The sequence below is a fragment of the Homo sapiens genome, chromosome 13, assembly GCF_000001405.40.
Source record: "Homo sapiens chromosome 13, GRCh38.p14 Primary Assembly".
Taxonomy (NCBI): domain Eukaryota; kingdom Metazoa; phylum Chordata; class Mammalia; order Primates; family Hominidae; genus Homo; species Homo sapiens.
The window spans coordinates 25,766,827-25,791,438 of NC_000013.11; the positions used below are offsets into that span (position 1 = coordinate 25,766,827).

At 42.3% G+C, this 24,612-nt stretch overlaps 1 protein-coding gene across 10 annotated transcripts in view; it reads left to right on the top strand.

The window, feature by feature from the left end:
• The window catches only part of ATP8A2 (ATPase phospholipid transporting 8A2), a 653,878-nt gene that overhangs the window by 394,853 nt on the left and 234,413 nt on the right, over positions 1-24,612 (top strand). For all 10 annotated transcript variants that reach the window (NM_016529.6, NM_001411005.1, NM_001411006.1 and 7 more), the window contains 2 exons: positions 2,220-2,403; positions 8,023-8,133. In NM_016529.6, coding sequence (NP_057613.4) covers positions 2,220-2,403; positions 8,023-8,133 — 295 coding nt within the window. The remainder of the gene's footprint in view (positions 1-2,219; positions 2,404-8,022; positions 8,134-24,612) is intronic.

The following is a 24,612-nucleotide window of genomic DNA, read 5'->3' on the forward strand; positions in this document are numbered from 1 at the left end:
AGTTAAGATGTTTCACATAATCCTATGCTAGGTGGAGTGTGAGATGCAATTGTTTTATACTTGCTAGTCAACACAGTGGTTTCACATTAATACATCACAACCATCCCATGAGGTGGCTGGTTCTCATTTTCCTGATCCCACTCATGAAAAGCAGGGGCTCATGGACTTCCTTTCCCTGCTTAAATGGTCAATGTGTGGTGCACAGGAAAATGTCATACTCAGGCCTTTAACTGTGGCTCCCAGGTTGTTTTCTCCAACTATATTTGATCTGTGGTTCTGTGGAGTTTCAAAACAAAATGGGAAATCACTTTTGTGTAGCCAGTTACAGTTGTGGGCTGCCTCTGCCAAAAAGATCAGCCCTTGGCTTTAAGTAGCAGTTGCACAAACTAGGCGGGAATAGATACAGCTTAATATCCCTTCATGTTAAAATTGCTTATGTGGAGTTGACTAGAGGCTTCATTGATAAGCAGTGTTAAAGCTCCAGTAACTTTCTTTTAGGCCACATTAAAGTGAATCTGGCATCTGCTACAAGGGAGATGGTGATTCTGTTCTATTCTGCTCTCAGTTGCCTAAAAGATTATACTTGGAGGCTATCTTTTAAGTTCTGAAGCATGCCTATTAAATAATGGTTGAAGAACCTGAGAATATTTAGCAAGCAGCAACAGAGCTTTGGGAGGAAAGATGTGATAGCTGTTTTTATATTTCAGCCTTCCATATATTTGTAAGAGAAGTTAGACTTTTCCTATTTAGCCCCAAATGACAGAGTTAGTACTCTTAAGTATGCTCAGTAACAACAAAAAAGTAATAATAATTTGCAGTGGTCGCACCTACTGCAGGAGGCATCGAATTGCTGCCATTGCAAACCCTTGTGAAAATGCTAAAAGGGATATCAGATTGTGCAACCCAGCTCCTAAAGTCCTTTCATTATGTTTTTCTAACTTTCTAATTTTTATCTTTGTCACTGAGCAAAGGCTTTTTACATGGTTCTACATTCAGTTTGCTGTCTCGCCAAATGCATTTCTTTCTCAAGTTGGTAGAATGAGATGTCAGGTAGCACTTCAGTTTTCTGTTTGGAACAGGTATCTTTGTGGGTAGAGACCATCTAGGAGCTGTTGAAGTTCTTACTGGGCAAATCTTTGAGTGTCCATTCTAGCTGATGCGTGAAGTCCATATGTGGGCGTGGCCAGTAGACCTCTGTGAAATCCAGAAAAATCTTTTACTTTGTGTTTATTCTGTGTGTGTGGTGGCGTGGGGGGGGGGTGGTGGGGGGGCAAGTGCTGTTTAAGTGATCCAAAAGCTTACCTGTAAATCCCGCAAATCAAGCATCAGCTTACCAATTCAGAATGTAGAGTCACTCAGTCCTGAGATGCTAGTCTTTGCTTCGTGTTGCTGTGTTTTGTGGTCTACACTCTGAATAAGCACTTCATTATCATGAATACCCCTCTGCTTTAGACCCCACAGATTTATACTGGCTCCTCTTCCCAGACGACTTGAGGACTTAGGAAAGCTTGGCCGCCATCTTGGATTCCTTGTGGAAAGAACCCTTCCTATGCAGGGGCTGATCTTCTTGCCCCCTTTAGGGCTGTGCTTCTGCATGGCTCAACAAGGGGAGACTTCCACTCCCTGACTCCCATCCTAGATCCTCTGCCTTGGCTGCCCTTCAAACACAGCTTCATTTTCTGGGGCGGATGTAGGGAAGTCTTTTTTCTTTGCTCTTACCCCAGCCTTCTTTCTGCACTTTATCATGCCCTGCCAATTTCCTTTCCCTTCTGTAAAAGCAGATTTTACAGAAAATTCCCTTGCCAGCCCTAGGTTGTATATGATGTACCATAAAGCAAAAGGAGGTCTGTGCTGGTTTTCTGATTTATTGGAAAGACATTTCCGAAGACCCCTGTAACTAGACTGACTTCCTTTATCATTCAGCAGGGCACACGTACCCCCGAGGAGTTTGTGCAGATGCCTCCCACTTAGCAGAGTGATTACAAATAGGCTGTGTTTTAAGTTAGTTTTCTGTTGTATATTTCATCTGAGAAGTTGGCAAATACTTGAAAGCCACAAGCTACTGTTTTCTGAAAGCTTCTTTGCACATGAGCATAAAATGGATGTATTGAATTTGGAGATCGTCCAGTAACTGTCCTTTTAATGCAGCGGAATGTAGATTACAGCTGTTTCCTCTGGAAAGACATGCATAGCTCTGATTTCCCTCTCTTTTCTCACAGAGTGTCTCCTCTGCAGAAGTCTGAGATAGTGGATGTGGTGAAGAAGCGGGTGAAGGCCATCACCCTCGCCATCGGAGACGGCGCCAACGATGTCGGGATGATCCAGACAGCCCACGTGGGTGTGGGAATCAGTGGGAATGAAGGCATGCAGGCCACCAACAACTCGGATTACGCCATCGCACAGGTCAGCAGCTTGGGCGTCCAGCTGCCCTGTCCTGTTGAGAGATGATAGCTGGGCATGAGGACCTGGCGTTTAACCTTCAGTGCATCTCCAAACCTCTGCCACCCCTCTTGAGGTTGCTGTCTAGATGAAACCCCGGGGATATTTGGAATTCTCTGTAGTTGTGATCTTGTGCAGTTTGGAGGCCCTGTCCTGCTGATTGGATTTCTCTGGCCAGCTATGGGGTTGGCCAAGCTGCTCTGTGATCCAGGCAAGGTGCTGCTCCTGGCAGATAGGTCTCTGATCTTGCTAATAATAACCTCTCACCTTCAGCTTCTGCATCTGCTGCATGGCTTTTTCTGCTGCATTGCCTGCTGAAGCACAGCTGTGCTCATGACAGCCTTTCTCTATAATCCTGTTCCAGTCTCACTCCTCCCAAAGGTGTTGGGACACCCCCTGGCTAGGTGCTTAAGGTCAGGGAGAAGCAGTGATTACAGCTGTCGCCTTCTCTGTAGTTATGAGAGGGGTGCTGTCCAGGACCACCCCTGTGAGGTGAATTGCCAAGAGCACGAGCTGGGTTTGGGCCATAATGACCCCATGGTCAGTAGCAATCAGCCTCCTGCAGTTAGGCCAAGTTCAGTCCAGCGGAGGCTGATCCGAGCCTCGCATGCCAGGGCTCCTGATGTGCTGTACTGCACTGGTGGCCTGAGGATGAAAGAAAGGTCCACTCCGTAATGATAGCCCAAAGGTGAAGGAAGATAGCCAATTTCCTAACCCGTAGGGTGCATATCTGAGACCACCTTTGCAAAATTATGACTGAGACAGTGGAAGAGATCTAACTTAACCGACTCCATCTTGCTTCTAACCTCCAAGCTGTCCTTGTTCATTTCTGGGCGTAAGCTGAACTAACTTTGAGAGAAACTCAGTTTATACTTTATAGTTTAAACAAAGATGGTAACAGCCCTTTCCCAAAGCAGACCTCCTTGCCTGGGGACTAGACTAACATTAGCCACAGGATTTGAAATATGGCTTAGGAGTCATGCAGCTGGAGGCTACGAGATTCTGACCTTCTTAAACTGCTCCTAAGATCAGTGCTTGAGATATTTTGCAGACCCTGCACTTGATGGATCAGCTGGCACCACTCAGATCAATAAACTGGCTCATCTAATCTTGTGGCTCCCCACCACCCAGGAACTGACTGAGCTCAAGAAGACAGCTTTGACTCCCTATGATTTCTTCCCTGACTGATCAGCATTCCCGGCTCACTGGCTACCCCCACCCACCAAGTTATCCTTAAAAACTCTGCTCCCCGAATGCTTGGGGAGACTGATTTGAGTAATAATAAAACTCCAGTCTCCCTCACAGCCGGCTCTGCATGAATTACTCTTTCTCTACTGCAGTTCTTCTGTCTTGATGAATCGGCTCTGTCTAGGCAGTGGGCAAGGTGAATCCCTTGGGCGGTTACATATCTAGATGATTTGGCCTGCTGGATCACCCAGAAAACCTAGACATCACAGCGAATGCAGGGCCTGTCCCTCTGTCTCCAGATTGCGATACATCATGAATAGATGCCTGCTCATCGGCTGGGTAGCAGGAATTCCCTTGTGTTTCTACGGTGTTGAGGTGTTTGAAGAATGTGTTCACCTTAATCACATGAACACAAGGAAAAATGGCTACACACCCCTTCAACCTGAAATCAGGTGCTGCATATAAAATGTGAAGGAGCTTCCTATAGCCCCAGGGCTTCAGGCCAGTCCTTTGCAGTTCTGGGGCTCCACCTCTCCAAAGCGGGGGCTCTGTGTTAGATCACCTCTCAGGTTTCTTCTCAGCTCACAGTTCTGCAGATGCAGGGAGAAATTACAAAATCCTCCTGGCTCTGAAAAGTGCATGCAATCAATCTTCTTCCTTTGCTGATTTCAAATAAATCCTCAAGATAATTTCTGAAGTAGGTAAGAGAAGGAATCTTGACTTTATAGGTGGGAAAACCGGGGTTCCTTCGTATCAGGTGACTTACATCAGGTCCAAGCAAGCAAGCATCTTGGGGTCAGAAAACAACGGACCTGAGTGTGAACTTGGGGGCCGGCCCCACGCACACCTGCCTGTTTACTTTCCTGAGTCAAATGCTTTGAGGCCTGTGGGACTCGCACTTCCTGTAGTCTGTCAGCAACTATAGATGTTATACACCCCAGCATTATTAAATACTTGAGTTATAACATCATATGGCTGGAAGGGATCTTAAGAGGTTTCCTAGGAGTTCCAGGCAAATATTTGTCTGTCTTTTTCTTTAAAATGTCTAGGGAAGGGAGATCCCATGACCTGCTTTACTGGAACTGCATAGGAATAGGATGTGTTATCCAGAGCAATTGCTCTCTTCAAATTAAAAGTGTCAAAGAAGGGTGGAGCAGGGAGCGAGGCTTTAAAACGCCATTGGGGGTTTTCTTGCCCCTCCAGCATCATAGTCACTTCTGCCAAAGGAACTGATGCAGCCCACATGTTTCTGTGCACCCTCATTTCTCCTGTCCATGGTCCTATTGCCGATTAGGTGGGGATGCTGTTACTTCAGGGCAGGTTCCTGCTAACCTCATAACCTTTGCACCAACCAACATGCTGCCTCTACCTTAGTCACCATGCCAGAAAAGCCACAGCTTGATGAATTTCTTTGCCTCTCTTGAAATGGTAAACATCTCTGGTTGTTTATCGCCTTGGGCTTTATCTGTTCATTTTAATGTGGATGCATTTTTTTTATTACGCTTCGGAGGAAGTACCCTCAGGGTTATTATACTCAGAAAGAAAAAAATGTTAGCTCAAAGACTTACCTTGGGAAAGTTACGAAGTGGGCAAAGCTCTGGTTCTATTTCTTCCCTGCCTACCTTGTGCTTTTATGCACATGGGCAGCCCAAGACCGAGCGCCGTCCTTTTTCAGCTGCCTTGTCCTGAGCAACCTTGCTGCCGTCGCTGAGTCATGGTGCTCCCCTAGCCCTTGGCTTTCCATTCTCCTCGGGAGAATCATTCCTGCCCCCTGCCCTCCTAATGTTTTCAGAACGACCTCATGATGACAGCATTTTGATTTAGAATATACATTTTTTTTTCCTGAAAACAAATCACTGTAGTGCTCAAGTTGAGGCATTCAGGATGACTCAAGCAGATGTTTTCTGTGCCCATTGAAGTTTAACATCAGGGGGTCCCGGTCAAATACAAACTTCCTTTTTATTTGTTTAGCTAGTTATTTTATGATTTCCCATTCCCCTTTGGAATCCTTAATGAGCCTTTATGGGGAGTTTTATTTTTCCATGTGCACCTACTTCTGCCACTTCGAAGCGATGATTTAGATTCCGAATGCGTGGTGAGCCCCGCGCCTTCCCCTCACCTCCTGGAAGAACATGCTGAGCTGGGACTCCACCTAGGATGGAGTCCTTTCTTTAGTGCTAATGGAGATTATTATGCAGTTTCCTCCTGAAAATTTTTTGTTTAAGTATTGTATTTTCAGTCTGGTCATTTCTTTTCTATTGAGAGTTACATTTAATTAATTAATTTATTTATTTATTTATTTATTTATTATTTTTTTTATTCAGAGTTTCACTCATGTTGCCCAGGCTGGAGTGCAGTGGCTGGATCTCGGCTCACTGCAGCCTCCGCCTCCGCCTCCTGGGTTCAAGTGATTGTCCTGCCTCAGCCTCCTGAGTAGCTGGGATTACAGGCACCCAACACCACGTCTGACTACTTTTTGGATTTTTAGCAGAGACGGCGTTTCACCACGTTGGCCAGACTGGTCTTGAACTCCTGGCCTTAGGTGATCTGCCCGCCTTGGCCTCCCAAAGTGCTGGGATTACAGGTGTGAGCCACTGTGCCCAGCTGAGAGTTACGTTTAATTTCCAAAGTCATCTGAAATTAATAAGAAGTATATAACTGCAAAAGAATTTCTAATGTCCTGGGCATTCTCAATACAGCCTGCTTGTCTCTCCTAGTAGTGTAATAGGTTTCAAGCTTGTGGACTTACTGACACTCTGACTTAGAACAGGAGGCATTAAGGTTTTCATGCAAGGGAACTAAGAGGGAACTCAAATCCAGTGTAAGGCATATCAAATGTGTAGAAACGTGATGTAAACAGGGTTGCAGCTAACGGCACATTTATGCCAGAGCAGGACACCACGCACCAGACCAGAGAAACTCGTTTCCCTCCCTCCAGCGCAAGGTTTACACTTTTTGGGACCTTTATGAAACGGCACACAGAAGGCAAAGCCAGGCTAAGGGGTGGCTGAGGAGATACGATCTGAGTGGTGTCCAGAGACCCCCTCCCCCAGTGAGGATTCCTGAATGTTACTGGATTATCTATGGCTCCAACTCAAACCACAGGAGCCATCACATCACTCCCAGCTTGGGACCCACCAGCAGCCCCTGACTGCATAGCACTCTGGCCAGAGGGGCTCTGTACTGGTTGGAGGCAAAAAAGGAGAAGACAAAATGGGTCAAGAAGTGGAGGCAAAGTGTGTGTGTGTCTTAGTATATCTATGTGTACATGTGTATTTGTATGAGTATCTATGTATGTGTGTCTGTGTGTATGTGTGTCTCTGTGTATCTCTGTCCTGTGTGCCACTATCTCTGTGTCTAGGTGTGTGTGTCTGCCTGTATGTGTCTGTTTATCTGTGCCTGTTATGTGTCTCTGTGTATCTATGTGTGTACATCCGTGTGTGTCTATATGTGTGTGTAACTTTTTAAACTACGCAGTTGTTAGTGGAAGTAGTGTATGTGCACCTGTGTGTACTTTTCTTTTAAACAAGACTGTATTGTGTGAGTGTCCCTGTCCCTTGCTCTTTTTGTCACTGAAAAAATCTGTGTTTGCTTAGAGATATCTGACTTCCACTGTACTTTTCTTTCAGTTTAGTAGCTCACCTTTGTTTAATAATTAATCCCTATTGCAGCACTATTCATAATAGCAAAGACATGGAATCAACCCAAATGTCCATCCGTGCTAGACTGGATAAAGAAAATGCAATACACATACACCATGGAATACTATGCAGCCATAAAAAGGAATGAGATCATATCCTTTGCAGAGACTTGGATGGAGCTGGAAACCATTATCCTCAGCAAACTAACACAGGAACAGAAAACCAAACACCACATGTCCTCACTTATAAGTGGGAGCTGAACAATGAGAACACATGGACACAGGGAGGGGAACACCACACACTGGGGCCTGTTGGGGAGGCAGGGGGAGGGAGGGCATCAGATTAAATACTAATGCATCCAGACCTTGAAACCTAGGTGACGGGTTGATAACTGCAGCAAACCATCATGGCAAATGTTTACTTATGTAATAAACCTTCACATCCTGCACATGTATCCTGGAACTTAAAATTCAATTACAAAAAAGCATTTGTTTAAATAGAATTTCATAAGAATAACAATTAGGAGTCCAGCAGTATGTTTAGGGAAAATAATAATAATGTAGTTTCAAGAAGGATTTTACTTGTTCTCACTGGGCCTGAAAGCTCTGTCTTCAGAGAATGGTTTTCTGAGATTCCTGCGGAATCTGGTTTCCTCTACCTACATTATCTGACTTCTGTTCATAAGGACATTCTGTTTGTGACTTTTATTCCTCAATGATGGGCTCTTCTGAGCTTTGTAATTTTCCTTTTTCAGTTTTCCTACTTAGAGAAGCTTCTGTTGGTTCATGGAGCCTGGAGCTACAACCGGGTGACCAAGTGCATCTTGTACTGCTTCTATAAGAACGTGGTCCTGTATATTATTGAGGTAAGAAGGGGTATTTTTTTTCCTTGAAGAGAAAGTTCTTTTAAGAGGATATCTTGAGGTATTTAAAGTCATTTCAAGGCAGGATTTTGTTCATGTAAAATTAAAAGATGCTGCTGTGACTTTCTACAGCCTGGGTCACATGTAAGCTCCTGTGAAGCTGGGCTCGCCATTCTGGTCTAGATCCTCATGCTGGATGACCAAAGCGGGCATCTGCAGCCTTTCTTACCTACCCGGACATGCCTTCCTCCTAGCTCTCCTCCTGTGTTCCTCTTTGCCATGCCTCTTCCTCTGTGTCCTTGGCTGGGGTAGAATCTTGCTAATACTCACAGCCCTTCCACAGGGGTCAGATCCTATCAGCAGAGGCCTACACCTTGCCAGGTGATCGCTGAGGTGTTGCTGGAATGAACAAGGGGGCCTGATTTCTGCCTTATTTCTCACAGACTCTGCAAGTTTCCTAGCATCCATTCACTGCTTCTGGGATACTTGGACACTGGTACTTACGTGGGAAGGGTGTGGGAGTGAGGGGATAGTGGGGAGTAAAACAGCAAGGTCATTGACAATATTGCAGTGAGTTCATATTCTGTTGTCAGACAATTTTCCAAGATGCTGATTCAGTTACCAGTAAAACAAACGTGCCTGCTAGAGGGGTGGGCCCAGGAAGAAATGGAAAAGTCACTTCATGTTTGCTATTAGTGGGATTACAGCCCTGCTATAAAGGGGGTGGCTTTTGAGGCCATCATGACTAATCGTTTCCAACTATGTTTGTCTATGGAGGAAGGCAATGTTAATTATGGTGTTTTAATGCTTCATTCTACTATGGGTTATTTTATATCTGATTTCTTGACTCTTAGTAAAAATAATAAGCAAGGAAGAAATCAACTTTTTCTGATGTAAGCTCTGACAATACTGGGTTCAAATAACTATTAATAACAAGTGCCTTGCTAAGGTAGCTGTAACTAACTACTTCTTTACCCGGTTGTCTAATCTTTCCTACTCAATCATTCAGGTCAAACATATAAGTTCATGTCACACATCTGGTAACTAAACTACTAAAGAGTGATTTCCCCAAGTTGTGCAGGTTGTTCATGGCCCAAGACAACCGGGCCAAAAGAGTAAATGAAGCAGAAACATAACCTGTGCTACTTCATTCATCTCTTCAGCTGCCCGGAGCCCAACTGGAAACAGCAATGCATTTTTCTAAGTTGCACAAGGGCCAGCCTATTCGCCAAGACGTGTGCACTTGCAGAGAGGATGCCTCTTCTAGTTCACACAAAAGCCCCTTGTGGGCTGGGGAGCAGCCCTGATTCTTAAGGAATGTTCCAAGCAATCAAAAGGGATCTGGTTAAAGTCCTGAAACTGACCCATTCTTCCTAATTTGAATCTTTTGTGGGAGGTGCCCTGTCTGCTTAAGTGTATTTCCCTAGGAAGAAAATACACAGCAGAGGCTTGAGAGATTTGGTGATATAATTGACGTTTTATTCAGTATAGTGAGGTTAAAATCAATAATTTAAAAAATTATTCACAATTTGTCTGCTGGTCTTGTGCTGTAATATTCAACTCAGTTCACTCTGGGTGAGAACTTGTAGATATTGGTGTAAGAACTTTAGTGGTTTCTCTCTTCTCTTATTTTTACAATTCCCTTTTGGCACTTAAAGGTGTTTGTCCCCCTCCTGCTCCTACATTTTTCTGTGTCTGTGGTAGGAGTCACTCCTCAACGTCACTCAAGGTCATGGACGATAGTGTAAAGAGGTATCGTAGGGTCATGGACCATCGTGTAAAAGGGTATTAGAATCTCTGTTTCTTCGTGCTATCCCAGGCTTCCCAGCATTTTGTGCTCCTGTAGCTGCTGGCTTTCACGGTTTCTTAATAATCTCGTTTTCTTCACAATCAGCAAATTACAGATAGTCTAGACTTCTTATCAAGACATTCTGCGTGGAGCTCCCAATCTTTCACTTTTCAGATCGTCCCCTAGGGCCCCTTCTTAGTCATTTACACCTACTATCTTGCTGGTGTTTTTTTTTTTACTTCAAGTGGGCTGAGTCTGAGAAGAGTGCAATTTTAGTCTGCCTGAAAAATTCTATTTGGAAGGAGGCCCTGAAAGTGCCACATGCGTGCCTCAAATTAATATATTTCAATTGTAGCTGAGCAGCAGTTGTTAAATGGTCTTTTGTAAACAGCCTTTTAAACATTCTTTATAAAGTTAAAGAAAATGTTAAAGTCTGCACCACTCCATGCCCAATTTTCTATTTAGTATTTCTCGGGGATATTAATTTGAAAACCAAGAAAGCAAAATCCTTGACCGAGCCTATATGGTTAGAGCCTTGACTCAGGCAGAGCCTACCTACCACTGCCAAATTACTTCTTTCGCATCAACATGCACTTCAAATATAGTTTTAAAAATAGGAAAGTACTACTTACTTGCATGCAATTTTAGTGTGTTGTGAACTGTAAGATCAAAGATTATTGTAAGTTGATTTGCTTATTTGCAAAGAATACTTTTTTGTTCTAAAGGTAACCCTTATAATTAATTACTTAAGTAAGAATAAATTAAATACATTACTTATTTATCTTAAATGGTTTTCTTGTAACTCAAGGAGCGATTCTTTACAATAGCCAATATGTTGTCATCTCAGATGCCCTCTAAGATACATAACTACTAATCACTTAAAAATGTAGTCTAAAGGCAATTTGGCAAATTAAAAAAAAATACACATGTGTGCATGCACACACACATTTTATGGCCTTAGCCATTATTATGAGGATCATTATAGGACTTGAATTGCCAATAAAGATTGTAGGGAAGAACTGTAAGCCTGTGATGTAATGCAGTCTACTCACTTGGCATACTAACCTATAAAAGTGGATTTTTCTGTGTAAGGAACACATGGATGTATTCATGTTGCTATATGGAACACTAACTGAAAGTTCCCTCCACTCTCGCCCCCAAACCTCCTTCCGTATTATCTGTCCTGACCTTTTTCTCTGTAGGTATGGAGATATTTATGTATACAAACAAATCAAGGATTTTAGATAAATGCCATCATGCTGTGCAGAGCCTTCTGCAACTCATTTCACCTGACAGTGTATTCTGGAGACCATTCCCAGTTACTATGTATAGACCCAGGGCATGCCATTTCACAGGGGGGTTTCCTGCAATCTATTCAGCCATTCCCTGCACTGATAAACATTCCACTTCTCTCCAGTTTCAACCCCCAAAAGCCTTGTGGAATAACAGCTTTCTCACTAGCCCATAAATATTCCACCCAAATGATATTGATCTAATTAGACCATTTTTACCACAGTTCCTTGAACATAACACATGCTTACGTATTTTTATTTATACAACAACAAGTTATTTGTTGCTGACAAATCTTAATTAATGCTTGTTGAGTGTGCCGCATAAAATTCAAGCCAAAATAACTATTGGTTTGAGGGATTTAAAAACTAGGAACAAAATTATGCAATACATGGTTTCATGTTAGCCCTATTAATAGGTAAAACTGAAAATACTACAACCTGTGCCTCCATCCTCCCTGCAGCTGCCTTAATTTAGTACTGTTTTCTGGGTTGATTACAAAAACCGCTAGTTTCACTTCCTTGACCATCTCCGCTGTAGCTAGGATACGATTTCTGAAACATACGTCTGATCAATTCCAGTGTCTGGCACAATGTCTGGAATGGAGGTGCTTGAAAATGCTGGCAATGAAAGAGTGATGAATGCTGCTGCTTCCTGCAGCCCCTTCCCAGGCTCCCTGTGCCTTCTGATGAAATGCCCATCTCCGTCCCGTCACCTGCCCCTCTGCGATCTGGGTTCCAACTGTCACCAGCCTCCTCTGCCACTGTATCCTCCTTACTTTATTTGTAATCAGTGTTACTCAAGTATGATTGATGTACAGCAAGATAAACACTTTTTAAGTGTTCCATTCTATGAATTAAAACTGGGTTTTTATCATTAGAAACACACTGAGGATTTTGTCTGTCTCCCATAGACGGTGACCAGAATGTCTCAGAGAGCTCTGGAGACAAACAGATGGTGGTGATGGTTGCACAAGGCTGGGCACTGGAACTGCAGTGCAAGTGTGAACATGGGACCACACACTTAAAAATGGCTATGGTGGCAGACTTTGTTATCTATATTGTACAATCATTTTAAGATGCTAAAAAAAAAAAAAGAGAAAAATGTCACAAACACTTGGCTGCTTTCATCGCCTTGAGAGAGACAAAAATGTATAAGGACAGATTGTATGCTTTGGCGAGCTTATTGAAGGTTTGAAAAACAAATTTTACCCATAGTTTTGTTTTGCATTAAACTAATTAAATGCTATGTTTCATGGTCGTGGCCAGATGGACCATATTTCTCAGAAGGTAAAATCCTGTTGTTGTCTAGAATGCTCAGAGCTTCAGAGCCTTGCAGGGCAGCCAGCTGGGAGTGGGGTTGGGGTGGGTGGGGCAGGGGGGCGGTGTGTATTCCCTGTGTGTCTGCACTGGGGGTGGGAATGGGATGAAATTAGCAAAAGCAAGGAGATAGAGCAGGGTAAAGATATGTGAGTGACCAGGGAAGGGCATCTGAATGGCTCAGTCGGAGTAGTATTGCCATTGGAAGCTGGGATTCCTTTTTTTTTCTTCTCTTTTTGCAATAGTCAAATTACATAGTAAATGTGATTTAGGAAAATTTGTCTATCAATATGTAGGGCAGATGGCAAGCAGAGAACTTACATGTAATTTTGTAGTTTTAAGCCTGGGGCATAGATCATGCCATTATGTAACTATCTCTCCATGTAATTTAGAAGCAGAAAGCAAAGACTGATTTTTAAAACTCTTTGATGTTGACAATGGGAGGAATTTGCCTTAAATGTAAAGATTAGGGGTAAAGAGGTTAGGAAAGGATTCCTATAAATTTTTGAAGTCTTGACTGACCTCTGTGTGGTATCTCCTAAGGAGAGGGATTGAATAAGTTCTTTAAAGCTCCTACACTATTTAACAAACTATGAGTTAGTTGTTCAGGGTTTTCTTAATAGAGTACAGTTTCAAAGCACAGCAGCATCAGCATTTTAAGCATGTATTAGGTGGCATATGCATTTGTTTGTGGACTTTCTGAACCTCTGGGAAAAGGTTATTTGGAATAGATAACATTTTTAGTGGCCATAAAATTCAAATAGAAAAATAATAGGGACATTACTTGAACTTAACCTATATTTCGAAAAATTATCATAGGGATCTCTTGTAAACTTTGGTATAACATAAGGAAGATATGCCAAATTATTTTTGAAATAGAGATGAGTCTGAAATCATAATGGTGATTAGTTGGTGGTTCCTAATACAAAGAATAACCATAACATATGTATATTGATGTGAAAAAGTGGATATTATATACAGCTTGGAGTCTACTTATTTTTGGCAACACATACAAGAAATTTTAGTGTTTTCTTGGGGGTGATTAAACTGATAGGGGATAAAGGCCAGGAAATGAGATGCATATTTAGCAGGAAGGTCTGGAAATACTATCACTGAAATAGAAATAGATATTCTAAGACCACAGCAATTTGGGGACCAAATGAAACTGAACCGCAGAATTTAGTTGACAGCTGTTTAAAAATTTGTCAATATCTGACAAGCCTAAAACAAGCAAACAAACCTTTATTATACTGCAGCAGAGATTCCCAACCTTTCTGGCACCAGACACTGGTTTCAGGGAAGACAGTTTTTCCACAGAGGGCATGGCTTTGGGATGATTCAAGCACAGTACATTTATCATTAGATCCTCATAAGGAGCGTGCAAACTAGATCCCTTGCATGCGTGTTTTACAATAGGGTTCATACTCCTGTGAGAATCTAATGCTGCCACTGATCTGACAGGAGGCGGAGCTTAGGCAATATTGCCCGCTAGCCCTCCGCTCACCTCCTGCTATGTGGTCGGGTTTGCAACAGCCACCGACCAGCACCAGTCCAGTCCGTGGCCCAGGGGTTGGGGATCCCTGTACTACAGGATATGAGAAAAGGCCTTACTGGCAGTTTGTTTTCTGTGTCTTCGAATTCTCACGCCTGTAATCCCAGCACTTTGGGAGGCCGAGGTGGGTGGATCACGAGGTCAGGAGATCGAGACCATCCTGGCTAACATGGTGAAACCCCGTCTCTACTAAAAAAACACAAAAAATTAGCTGGGCATGGTGGCAGGTGCCTGTAGTCCCAGCTACTCGGGAGGCTGAGGCAGGAGAATGACGTGAACCTGGGAGGCGGAACTTGCAGTGAGCGGAAGCCGAGATCGTGCCACTGCACTCCAGCCTGGGTGACAGAGTGAGACTGCGTCTCAAAAAAAAAAGTGAAATGAATTATGGTTCATGTATAAATTGCCATTTTAATCCAAAACGTTTTCAGTAGATGAATACTTTGATTTTTTAAAATTGTTTTGCAAACATATATTTCCTTTTGCTGTTTTACAGCTTTATTTTTTTCTGTTGGACCTGTGAGAGATTTTGTTTTATCATCAATTTTTTATTATTGTTTGAAAATAATCATTATTTTTCAAACTTTTTTTTGTTTGTTTTTTGAGATGGAGTCTCACTCTGTCACCCAGGCTGGAATGCAGTAGTGCAGTGTTGGCTCACTGCAACCTCCGCCTTCCAGGTTCAAGCGATTCTCCTACCTCAGCCTCCCAAGTAACTGGAATTACAGGAGTGCACCACCACACTCAGCTAATATTTTTTGTATTTTTAGTAGAGACAAGTTTTCACCGTGTTGGACAGGCTGGTCTCAAACTCCTGACCTCAAGTGATCCACCCGCCTCGGCCTCCTGAGCTGTTGAGATTACTACAGGCGTGACCCCTTTGCCCGACCTTCAAACATTGTTAGAAAAAAATCATATCTAAATTACCCCTTCTTTCCATTATTATGTCATTAGCTTCTTGTTTGGGGAGCCTTAATTAAATATGTTAATGCACGGAGATGCTATGCACTTGGTCAACCCTATTACAAATTGGTATCTATGTCCTACTAGTAACCCATGCTTCATTATAAATGATAAAAGAAGTCACTGGCTTTGGGCTGGATTTCATTTTAAATGTTAGAATCAACAGAGAGTAGATGTTTTAAACCATGATCAAAATTTCATCCAGTGACTTTTCCCCTCTTGCATATAATGCATGACTTAACTATACCTCAAAACAATGTGTTTCATTTGGGGGACACAAGAAATTTCATTACACGGTAAAAGATAAAATCCTAATAGCTAAGCTTTCCTCTTCTGTCCTGTGCATCTGCCTTGGCAGAGTTAGCTTTATGTTTCCTGTTACAGCTTTTATTTGAAGGAATAGATTGGCAGCTATGAGTGCGGTGTTAAAATGTTAATAAGTAAAAGGCAAATTTAAAAATATCATTGACATATGGACCTTTCTGTAAAGGCTGTGGCTTCATCAAGTATGGAACCATCCATTTTCTATTAAAAGCTTTAATAAGTGTTGACCACCTACTCCAAGGCAGGCAGAATGCTGAGACTGAGGTACTGGGACATGCTGCACAGAGTTCCCCATCTAATACAGGTTGGGGAAGAGGTGAGTACAGTCATCCCTTAGTATCCACAGGGTACTGGTTCCAGGATACACCCTCCCCACCTTCAGATGCCAAAATTTGTGGATACTCAAGTCCCTTATATAAAATAGTGTAGTATTTGCATATAATCTATGCACATCCTCTTGTATACTTTACATCATCTATAAATTACTTAAATACCTAATGCATTGTAAATGCTATGTAAATAGTTGTTACACTGCATCAGTTTTGTTTTGTTTTGTTTTGTTTTTTTGAGACGGAGTTTCACTCTTGTTGCCAGGCTGGAGTGCAATGGCGTGATCTCGACTCACTGCAAGCCCCGCCTCCTGGGTTCACTTGATTCTCTTGCCTCAGCCTCCCGAGTAGCTGGGATTACAGGCACGTGCCACCGCACCTGGCTAATTTTTTGTATTTTTAGGAGAGACAGGGTTTCACCATGTTGGCCAGGCTGATCTCGAACTCCTGACCTCAGGTGATCCACATGCCTCAGCCTCCCAAAGTGCTGGGATTACAGGCGTTAGCCACCTCTTCTGGCCCAGTTTTTAAATATGTACTATTTATTCTTGTATTGATATTTTTACTGTTTTTCTTTCCTGAATATTTTTTTTTCCTGTGGTTGTTTGAATCTGTGGAGACGGAGAGCCTGGCTGTACAGCGTAAGTGCTCTGATGGCTGTGTGCACAAAGACCTCTGCATGCACAGGCCTGGTGCCAACCCCATCCCAAGAGCATCTGGGCTTACAGTCCATGATTACCTGGGTGGTCCCTATCTTGTGCTGACAATTGTTGAGTAATAACTGCAACTGTAATATGTTGGTGGGAAAACTACTTAGAGAAGTTTCCCATTGGACAATTGAAAAATGGGAATTAACTAGAAATGTAAACATTCTGAATTCTGCTTTCCTTGCCTCATGCATGCTCATTCTCCAAGTCAAGAACTCTTGGGTCATGGGGACAAGAGGAACAGGACAGTCCCTCCTCTTGGAATCAAATAGAGAATGCAGATAAGAATTCCCACAATTATAATATGGTGTGGTGGGGCTGGCTTAGAGGAAGACAGCTTGCAATGAGAACTGTTAGAAGTGGTGCTTTACAGGCGTGGTAGGGTAAGGGCCTCAGGATCCCAGGATGAAACGAGTTAAGACCTGAAGGATGAGTAGCAGCTGATCAGGTGAAGGGGTGGGAGGAGAGGGTCAGGGAATGTGCCAAAGAGAGCCCAGCACCTGCCTTTCCCATCCATGTTCTCTGTCTGTTCCAGCTCTGTGATAAATGTCAGCAATTAGCCCAGCCCTTAGTACCTAACAGAGAAGAAATGCATTATGCTGCGGTTTTATATTTCAGTCGGAAGATGGCTGGAGAACTAGTTAAACACGTGCCTAGGAATGTTCTCTGAAAGGCCAGCTGGTTGCTGCTGGTTGATAGAGCTGGGAGTTTATTGGCAAAAGGTGGAGAGGGGGTGAGAGGACAGGGAAGAGGTAGGTATTAAGCCAGAGAAATACTAGCAGTCTGGAGGGATTCCCTACAAGATACACAATCACTTTGAACTTTATAAAAATAGACTCTTACTGCCCTTTCCATGTGACAATCTATGCTTTTTTTATGATGTTTTTGCAGCTGCCCTACCTAAAAGGATCATTATAAAGATCCAGCACTAAAAAAATGTTTTTAGGCATTGATGGTTTAAAAAGGAGTCTTTGGAACTCTATAAAATGTTTTAATCTCCTTGGAATAAAAAAAAAATGCAAGTCCAGAAACAGAGCCCATGCAAAGAACTTCCAGGGCTCACGTGAACTTTGAGAGGTCAGCCCTGTGCTGGAGCTGTGCTTCGTAGCCCGGGTGCACTCTCCCACCCTACCTGTTACTGTGGCAGAAGTGATGAGAATCCAGCCCACTTCACCTCACGAATTCCAATTTGCTTCCCTTCCTTAAAGGCCTCTTGCATTCAGAGACAGCACCCACATAGTTTAGTACTGATTGCAGGCAAGGGGTGAATGTTACTTTTATTTTTCCAAATTGGTTATGACTTCCCTAAGGGCAAATAATCCATTGACTACATTTCAGTAGAGGCACACACGTAAGAATCTTTTGGACATTTTGGTTTTTGGGTTTTGTTTGTTTTTTTAGAATGTAAGAGAAGATTTCCTAAGTAGCATATTATTTGTATTTCCTTTTAGGAAATGCTTTTCTTATCCAACTGAAATCTTTCCCGGTGTAATTTTCATGCAGAGAACTATACCCTTCAAGTACTAGAAGATACATTTCTTTTTTTTTCTTTTGTTTGAGAAGGAGTCTCGCGCTGTCACCCAGGCTGGAGTGCAATGGCGTGATCTCAGCTCACTGCAACCTCTGCCTCCTGGGTTCAAGCGATTCTCCTGCCTCAGCCTCCTGAGTGGCTGGGATTACAGGTGCATGCCACCACGCCCGGCTAATTTTTGTTTTTTAATAGAGATGGGGTTTCACCATGTTGGTCAGGCTGGTCTCAAACTCCTAGCCTCATGATCTGCCTGCCTCGGCCTCCCAAAGTGCCGGGATTACAGGCATGAGCCACACGTGGCCTACATTTCTATTATATTGTGTTTAACCCTATCTTTTGAAAGAATAAAGAATAATTTTGGCTGGGTGTGGTGGCTCATGCCTGTAATCCCAGCACTTTGGGAGGCTGAGGTGGGCAGATCACCTGAGGTCAGGAGTTCAAGACCAGCCTGGCCAACATGGTGAAACCCTGTCTGTACTAAAAATACAAAAAGTTAACCGGACATGGGGGCACACACCTGTAATCTCAGCTACTCGGGAGGCTGAGGCAGGAGAATCACTTGAACCCATGAGGCAGAGGCTGCAATAAGCTGAGAGTGAGACTCCTTCTCAAAAAATAATAATAATAATAATTTTGATTGAATTCTTTAAACACATTTCTACCTTAATAGAACTTCTATTTTGGCTGAAATTCTCAAAGAGCCTTTCATTCTTATGTAGTTGACTTTACCAATTAGGTTTTTCCTTGCTAAGTTTTCTTTTCATTTTAGTTTGTGTTGCTCTCATTTTTTTCTTTCTGTTCTTTCTTTTGCCAGTAGAGACATAGTTGTCTAAAACTTTTGAAATCAGATTTCGTTTAAGTTTTAGAACTACTTCTGTGACAATGTCTGAGCACAGAGCCACTGATCGTGCCTTTCTATTCATTTTTCTCTCTCTATACCCAAATAGCACCATTCTAACTGGATTTCAGTAATAACTGCTTTAGGGTGATAGAAAGCCCAAGATCAAGAATGGAGACTTCATGTATAGGCTGTAGAAAAGTCAGTGGGCCAACAGAAAGAGCACCTTCTGTAGCAAATGAGGAAGAAGATAAAGGAAGGAGGACACGGGAATTCGTGACGTATCACTACCATGATGGAAAATGATCCTCATGTTTGACAATCATACATTTGCTTGTAGAGGATCAAGAGCAGGATATGTTCCCTTCTGCTCCTTTTCTCTAAGCTGGTCAGCCTTAGGTGTGAGATGTAGATTTTGACCCTCGGTTTTAAAACACCCTTATGTATGCAAGTAAAATGTAATTATTTATGAGAATGCAATTCGTCATTTTTTTTCTTGGACTTGGGAGTTTGTTGCCTTTTACCTTTAGTTGAAATAGCTTCTATTTAAAAGTATCACATCAGGAAACTCATCTCTCTTCTGGTAAATGTCTGTACTTTCAAGTGGTAAATAATCTCCATTGCGTTCTAACGATACATCTGAGCTGCGATATTGGTTTTCCAGCAGATGTCCTAAGAGTTTAGAATGCCCTTAACTTCTCAGTTCCAATGTCCTGGCAGATCAAGTGGACTATTTAAAGATGGATCAAGAATAGGAGTTATATACACGCCTTCTTGCCTGGTTTTTCAAACAGAGAGAAGGCAAAGTAGATTCATCCTATTAAATACTACATGTGCCTCAAGAGCATGTCAGTGAAATATTGATCAAAATATTGTCCTCTTTTACCCAGGAATTATAGGATGAAGTTTATTTTTATTCGTTTAATTAAACTGCATGTTGTTTTAATAATCTTTTTTGTCAGTCCCTTGCCCATTTGAAAGTTGCTTTTCTTAACATGAACTGTTAACTAGAAGCTTTTACTTCCCTGTTAGTTCCACCTTAGAGGTTGCCTTTATTCTACTGAAAGTGCTTATTTGTATAGTATATTATTTTATTTTTTAAAAATAAGGTATAATTTACACGGAGTAAAATTAACCCTTTTTAATGCACAATTCTATGTTTTTTTTTTTTTTTTTTTGAGACAGAGTTTCACTCTGGTTGCCCAGGCTGGAGTGCAGTGGTGGATCTCAGCTCACTGCAACCTCTGCCTCCTGGGTTTAAGCGATTCTCCTGCCTCAGCCTCCCCAGTAGCTGGGATTACAGGTGTCCACCACCATACCCGGCTAATTTTTTAAAAAATTATCTTTAGTAGGTCACTCAGGACTTGCTTAGAAACGGGGTTTTGCCATTTTGGCTAGGCTTGTCTCAAACTCTTGGCCTCAAGTGATCCACCTGCCTTGGCCTCCCAAAGTGCTGGGATTACAGGCATGAGCCACCGTCCCCAGCCATAGTACTATGACTCTTGACAAACACATAAACCAGTGCCATCACCAGGAAGTGGGCTTGCTTCCTACTACACCCAGATAAGAACAGTATGACACTGGCTCCAAAAATTCCCCAGTCTCCTCTGTAGTTAACCCCTGTCCCCCTCAGGGGACTCAGTTCCTGGCAACAGCTGGTCTGTTTTCTGACCTATAGTTTTGCATTTCTCAGAATGCTGTATGAATGGAATTGTACAGTATTATGACCCTCTGATTCCAATTTCTTCTACTCAATATAATGCATCTGAGATTCATCCATGTCGTTGGATCAGTAATTTATTGCTTTTATTGCTGAGTGGTATTCCATTGCATGGGTGTTTCACAGTTTATTCATTCACCTGTTGAAGGACATTTGGGCCGTTTCCTAATTTTGGTGATTATGAATAATGCCTCTGTACACACTCATTTTAGGTTTTAGTGTAAAGGTAGTTTCCATTTTACTTGGCAAATACCTTAAAAAATGGGGATCAGTTTCATTTCCTTATTCAGCGTTGCTGCATGGACTTATTTGCCTCTCCTCCTCACTTTGGTTACATGTGGGAAAAGTCAAGCAAAAACTTGGCCCAGGGGCCTCTGGTTCCATAACACCATTGGCCGGGCCTCTCTGCCTCAGGGCCTCTCCGGCATAGGTGTCCCATGGTTGGGGAGTCCTGGAAGTCCAGCTTTGGGGTCTGGGAACCAGGGAACCAGGGATCAGAAAGTCACTGGACTCCAGGGACTATATCATAGTTTAAAGAAGGGCTTGAGTAAAATGTGACCAGAATAGCATTGACAGTAATCAAGCAAGACGATGGTAGAAGACGGAGGAGTTGGCCTGGTGACCAATGCCTGCCAGCCCTTTCTGCACAGAAGAAATGCCAGGACCCACAGACATGGCTTTCCCTGGAACCACTCCTCTGTTGGTGGTCTCACTGGTGCCTGCCGCTAGCAGAGAGCAGCATGGTTACAGGTGAGGCCCCGCACCCAGGCCAGCTGTGGGACCTAGTTTCCAGCTCAAGCCGTGAAAACTTGGCTGCACCTCCTGACCCATCTCAGCCTCATTATCCTTTCCTGTAAAGTGAGGAAAATAGAAGTACATACATCAAAAAGTTTATGAGGGTGAAGTAAAATCATACAGGACAACCTTTAGCAAAGTGCCGACCACAGAGTGAGCCTTCCTCTTTGCCATTTGCAGTATTTTAAGGTATTTAACATCGATAGACCATACAATTATGGCATTGTTAAGAGCTGGAAGCTCTTCTAGTCTGTTGTTCCCCAACCACAGGGTTTTCCTATATGAGTTTACTTCATCCCCACAAACCTTCTGATGCATGTCCTTCTGTTTTCCTCACTTTATAGAAGAAGACACTGAGGCCGAGAGGGGTTAGAAGGTGTGCCCACGTTTGCATGGCTTGAGCTAGAAGCCCTGTCTTCCAGGTGGCCTGGCTGCAACCCTCCTAATCCAGAATCTTCCCCACAACAGCATGGCAGTCACTGATGCTCTCCTGGAAACCTTCTGGGGAAGGGGCTAAGTCTTCCCTTGCTCTACCTTAAAGACAGCTCTACCTTAAACATGGCTGTTATATATTGCAACTATATATCATTACCATAGAGCAAAATCACCATGATTACATCTGTTAGATTAACTCTTGAGTGGGCTTGCTTCCTGTTTGTGCATTCAGAATAATTGGTGCGCTAAGAATCAATTGTATTTCAGCAGTGTGGTCACCAGTTTACAACTGAGAAATCATTCTCTGCACATCATCTGTGGCCTCATCTTCTCCCCTGACCCAAATTGGTATTTATAGATTTCATTAATTAGCCTAGAATCCCAGAAGCTCAGATGCTTTGCTTGAGTTACATGAAGAGCAGGTAAATGAAACATGAAAACTGATGTACTTGTTTCTTTAAAACTCATGCCCCAGGGTGTTGAGAAACTCAGATTCTAAACAGAAATAGTGAACGCTGGTTGAATTGAGGATGGATGTGTGGTCCATGGTATTTCAAAATCATAGATATATAGATCTTTTAAATGACAATAATGTTAACTGTGTCAATGCTTGGAAATAATGGAATTATGCTTGGAATTAAGTTAAAATTCAGTATAAAATAATAGCATATGCAGTCACTACAATTTGTAAAATATTAAGGATCAGAAGACAAAACACAATAATGTAATTAACTTGTTTCGAATTTTGTAAAATGATTTTATTGCAAAGTTAGCTAAAAATAAAACTCTAGTGTTTAAACAAAACAAAACCAGAAAACCCCACTACTGATAAACAACCTCAGCAAAGTCTCAGGATATAAATTCATTGTACAAAAATCACTAGCATTCCTATACACCAACAACAGTCAAGTCAAGAGTCAAATCGGGAAAACAATGTCATTCACAAATGCCACAAAAAGAATTAAGTACTTAGGTAACTAGGGAGGTGAAAGGCCTCTACAGTGAGAAATACAAAACGCTGCTCAAAAAAATCAGAGATGACACAAACAAATGGAAAAACATTCCATGTTCATGGATAGGAAGAATCAGTAAAATGGCCATAGTGCCCAAAGCAATTTATAGATTCTATGCTATTCCTGTCAAACGACAAGTGACATTCTTCATAGTACTAGAAAAAACTTTTAAAATTCATATGAAACAAAAAGAAATGAGCCCCAATAGCCAAGGCAATCCTAAGCAAAAAGAGCGAAGCTGGATGCATCAGTGTTACCTGACTTCAAACTATGCTGCAGGGCTACAGTAACCCAAACAGCATGGTACTGGTACAAAAACAGGCACAAAGACCAAGGGAACAGAATAGAGAACCCAGAAATAAGACCACATACCTACAACCATCTGATCTTCCACAAAGCTGGCAAAAGAAATGGAGAAAGGACTCACTATTCTATAAATGGTGCTGGGATAACTGGTTAGTCATATGCAGAAGATTGAAACTGTACCATTCCTTACATCATATACAAAAATCAACTCAAGATGGATTAAAGATTTAAATGTAAAACCCAAAGCTATAAAAACCCTGAAAGATAACCCAGGCAATACCATTCTGGACATAGGAATGGGTAAAGATTTCATGATGAAGATGGCAAAAGCAATTGCAACAAAAGCAAAAATTGACAAATGGGATCTAACTAAACTAAAGACCTCTGCACAGCAAAAGAACCTATCTACAGAGTAAATAGACAACCTACAGAACAGGAAAAAATGTTTGCAAACTATATAGGTCCAAAGGTCTAATATCTAGCATCTATAAGGAACTTAGACAAATTTACAGGAAAAAAAGAACAACCCCATTAAAAAGTGGGTAGGCTGGGCGCAGTGGCTCATGCTTGTAATTCCAGCACTTTGGGAGGCAGGCAGATTGCTTGAGCCCAGGAGTTTGAGACCAGCCTGGGAAACATGGCAAAACCCTGTCTCTGTAGAAAAAAAAAAAAGTCCAAAAATTAGCTGGGCATGGTGGTGCATGCCCATAGTCCCAGCCACTTGGGAGGCTGAGGTGGGAGGATCGCTTGAGCCTGAGAGGTTGAGGTGTGGTGAGCTGTGATTGCAACATTGTACTCCAGCCTGGGCAACAAAGTGAGACCTTGTCTCAAAAAAAAAAAAAAAATAAGCAAAGAACATAAACAGACACTTTTCAAAAGAAGACATACACAGTGGCCAACAAGCATACAAAATAAAGCTCAACATCACAGATCATTAGAGAAATGAAAAATCAAAATGACAGTGAAATACCATCTGACACCAGTCAGAATGGCTATTATTAAAAAGTCAAAAAATAACAGATGTTGGCGAGGTGGTGGAGAAAAAGGAATGCTTATACACTGTTGGTGGGAGTGTAATTAGTTCAACCATTGTGGAAAAACAGTGTGATGATTTCCCAAAGACCTAAAAACAGAACCACCATTTGGCCAACCAATCCCATTACTGGATGGATACATACCCAAAGGAATATAAATCATTCTGTTATAAAGACATATGCATGCATATGTTCATTGCAGCACAATTCACAATAGCAAAGGCATGGAATCAACCCAAATGCCCATCAATGATAGACTGGATAAAGAAAATGTGGTACATATACACCATGGGATACTATGCAGCCATAAAGAGAACGAGATCATGTCCTTTGCAAGACCATGGATGGAGCTGGAGGCCATTATCGTTGGCAAACTAACATAGGAACAGAAAACTAAATACCACATGTTCTCAGTTAGCAGGAGCTAAATGATAAGAACATACAGACACAAAGAAGGGAATAACACACACTGGGGCCTATTGGAGGGTGGAGGATGGGAGTAGGGAGAGGATCAGGAAAAATAACTAATGGGTACTAGGC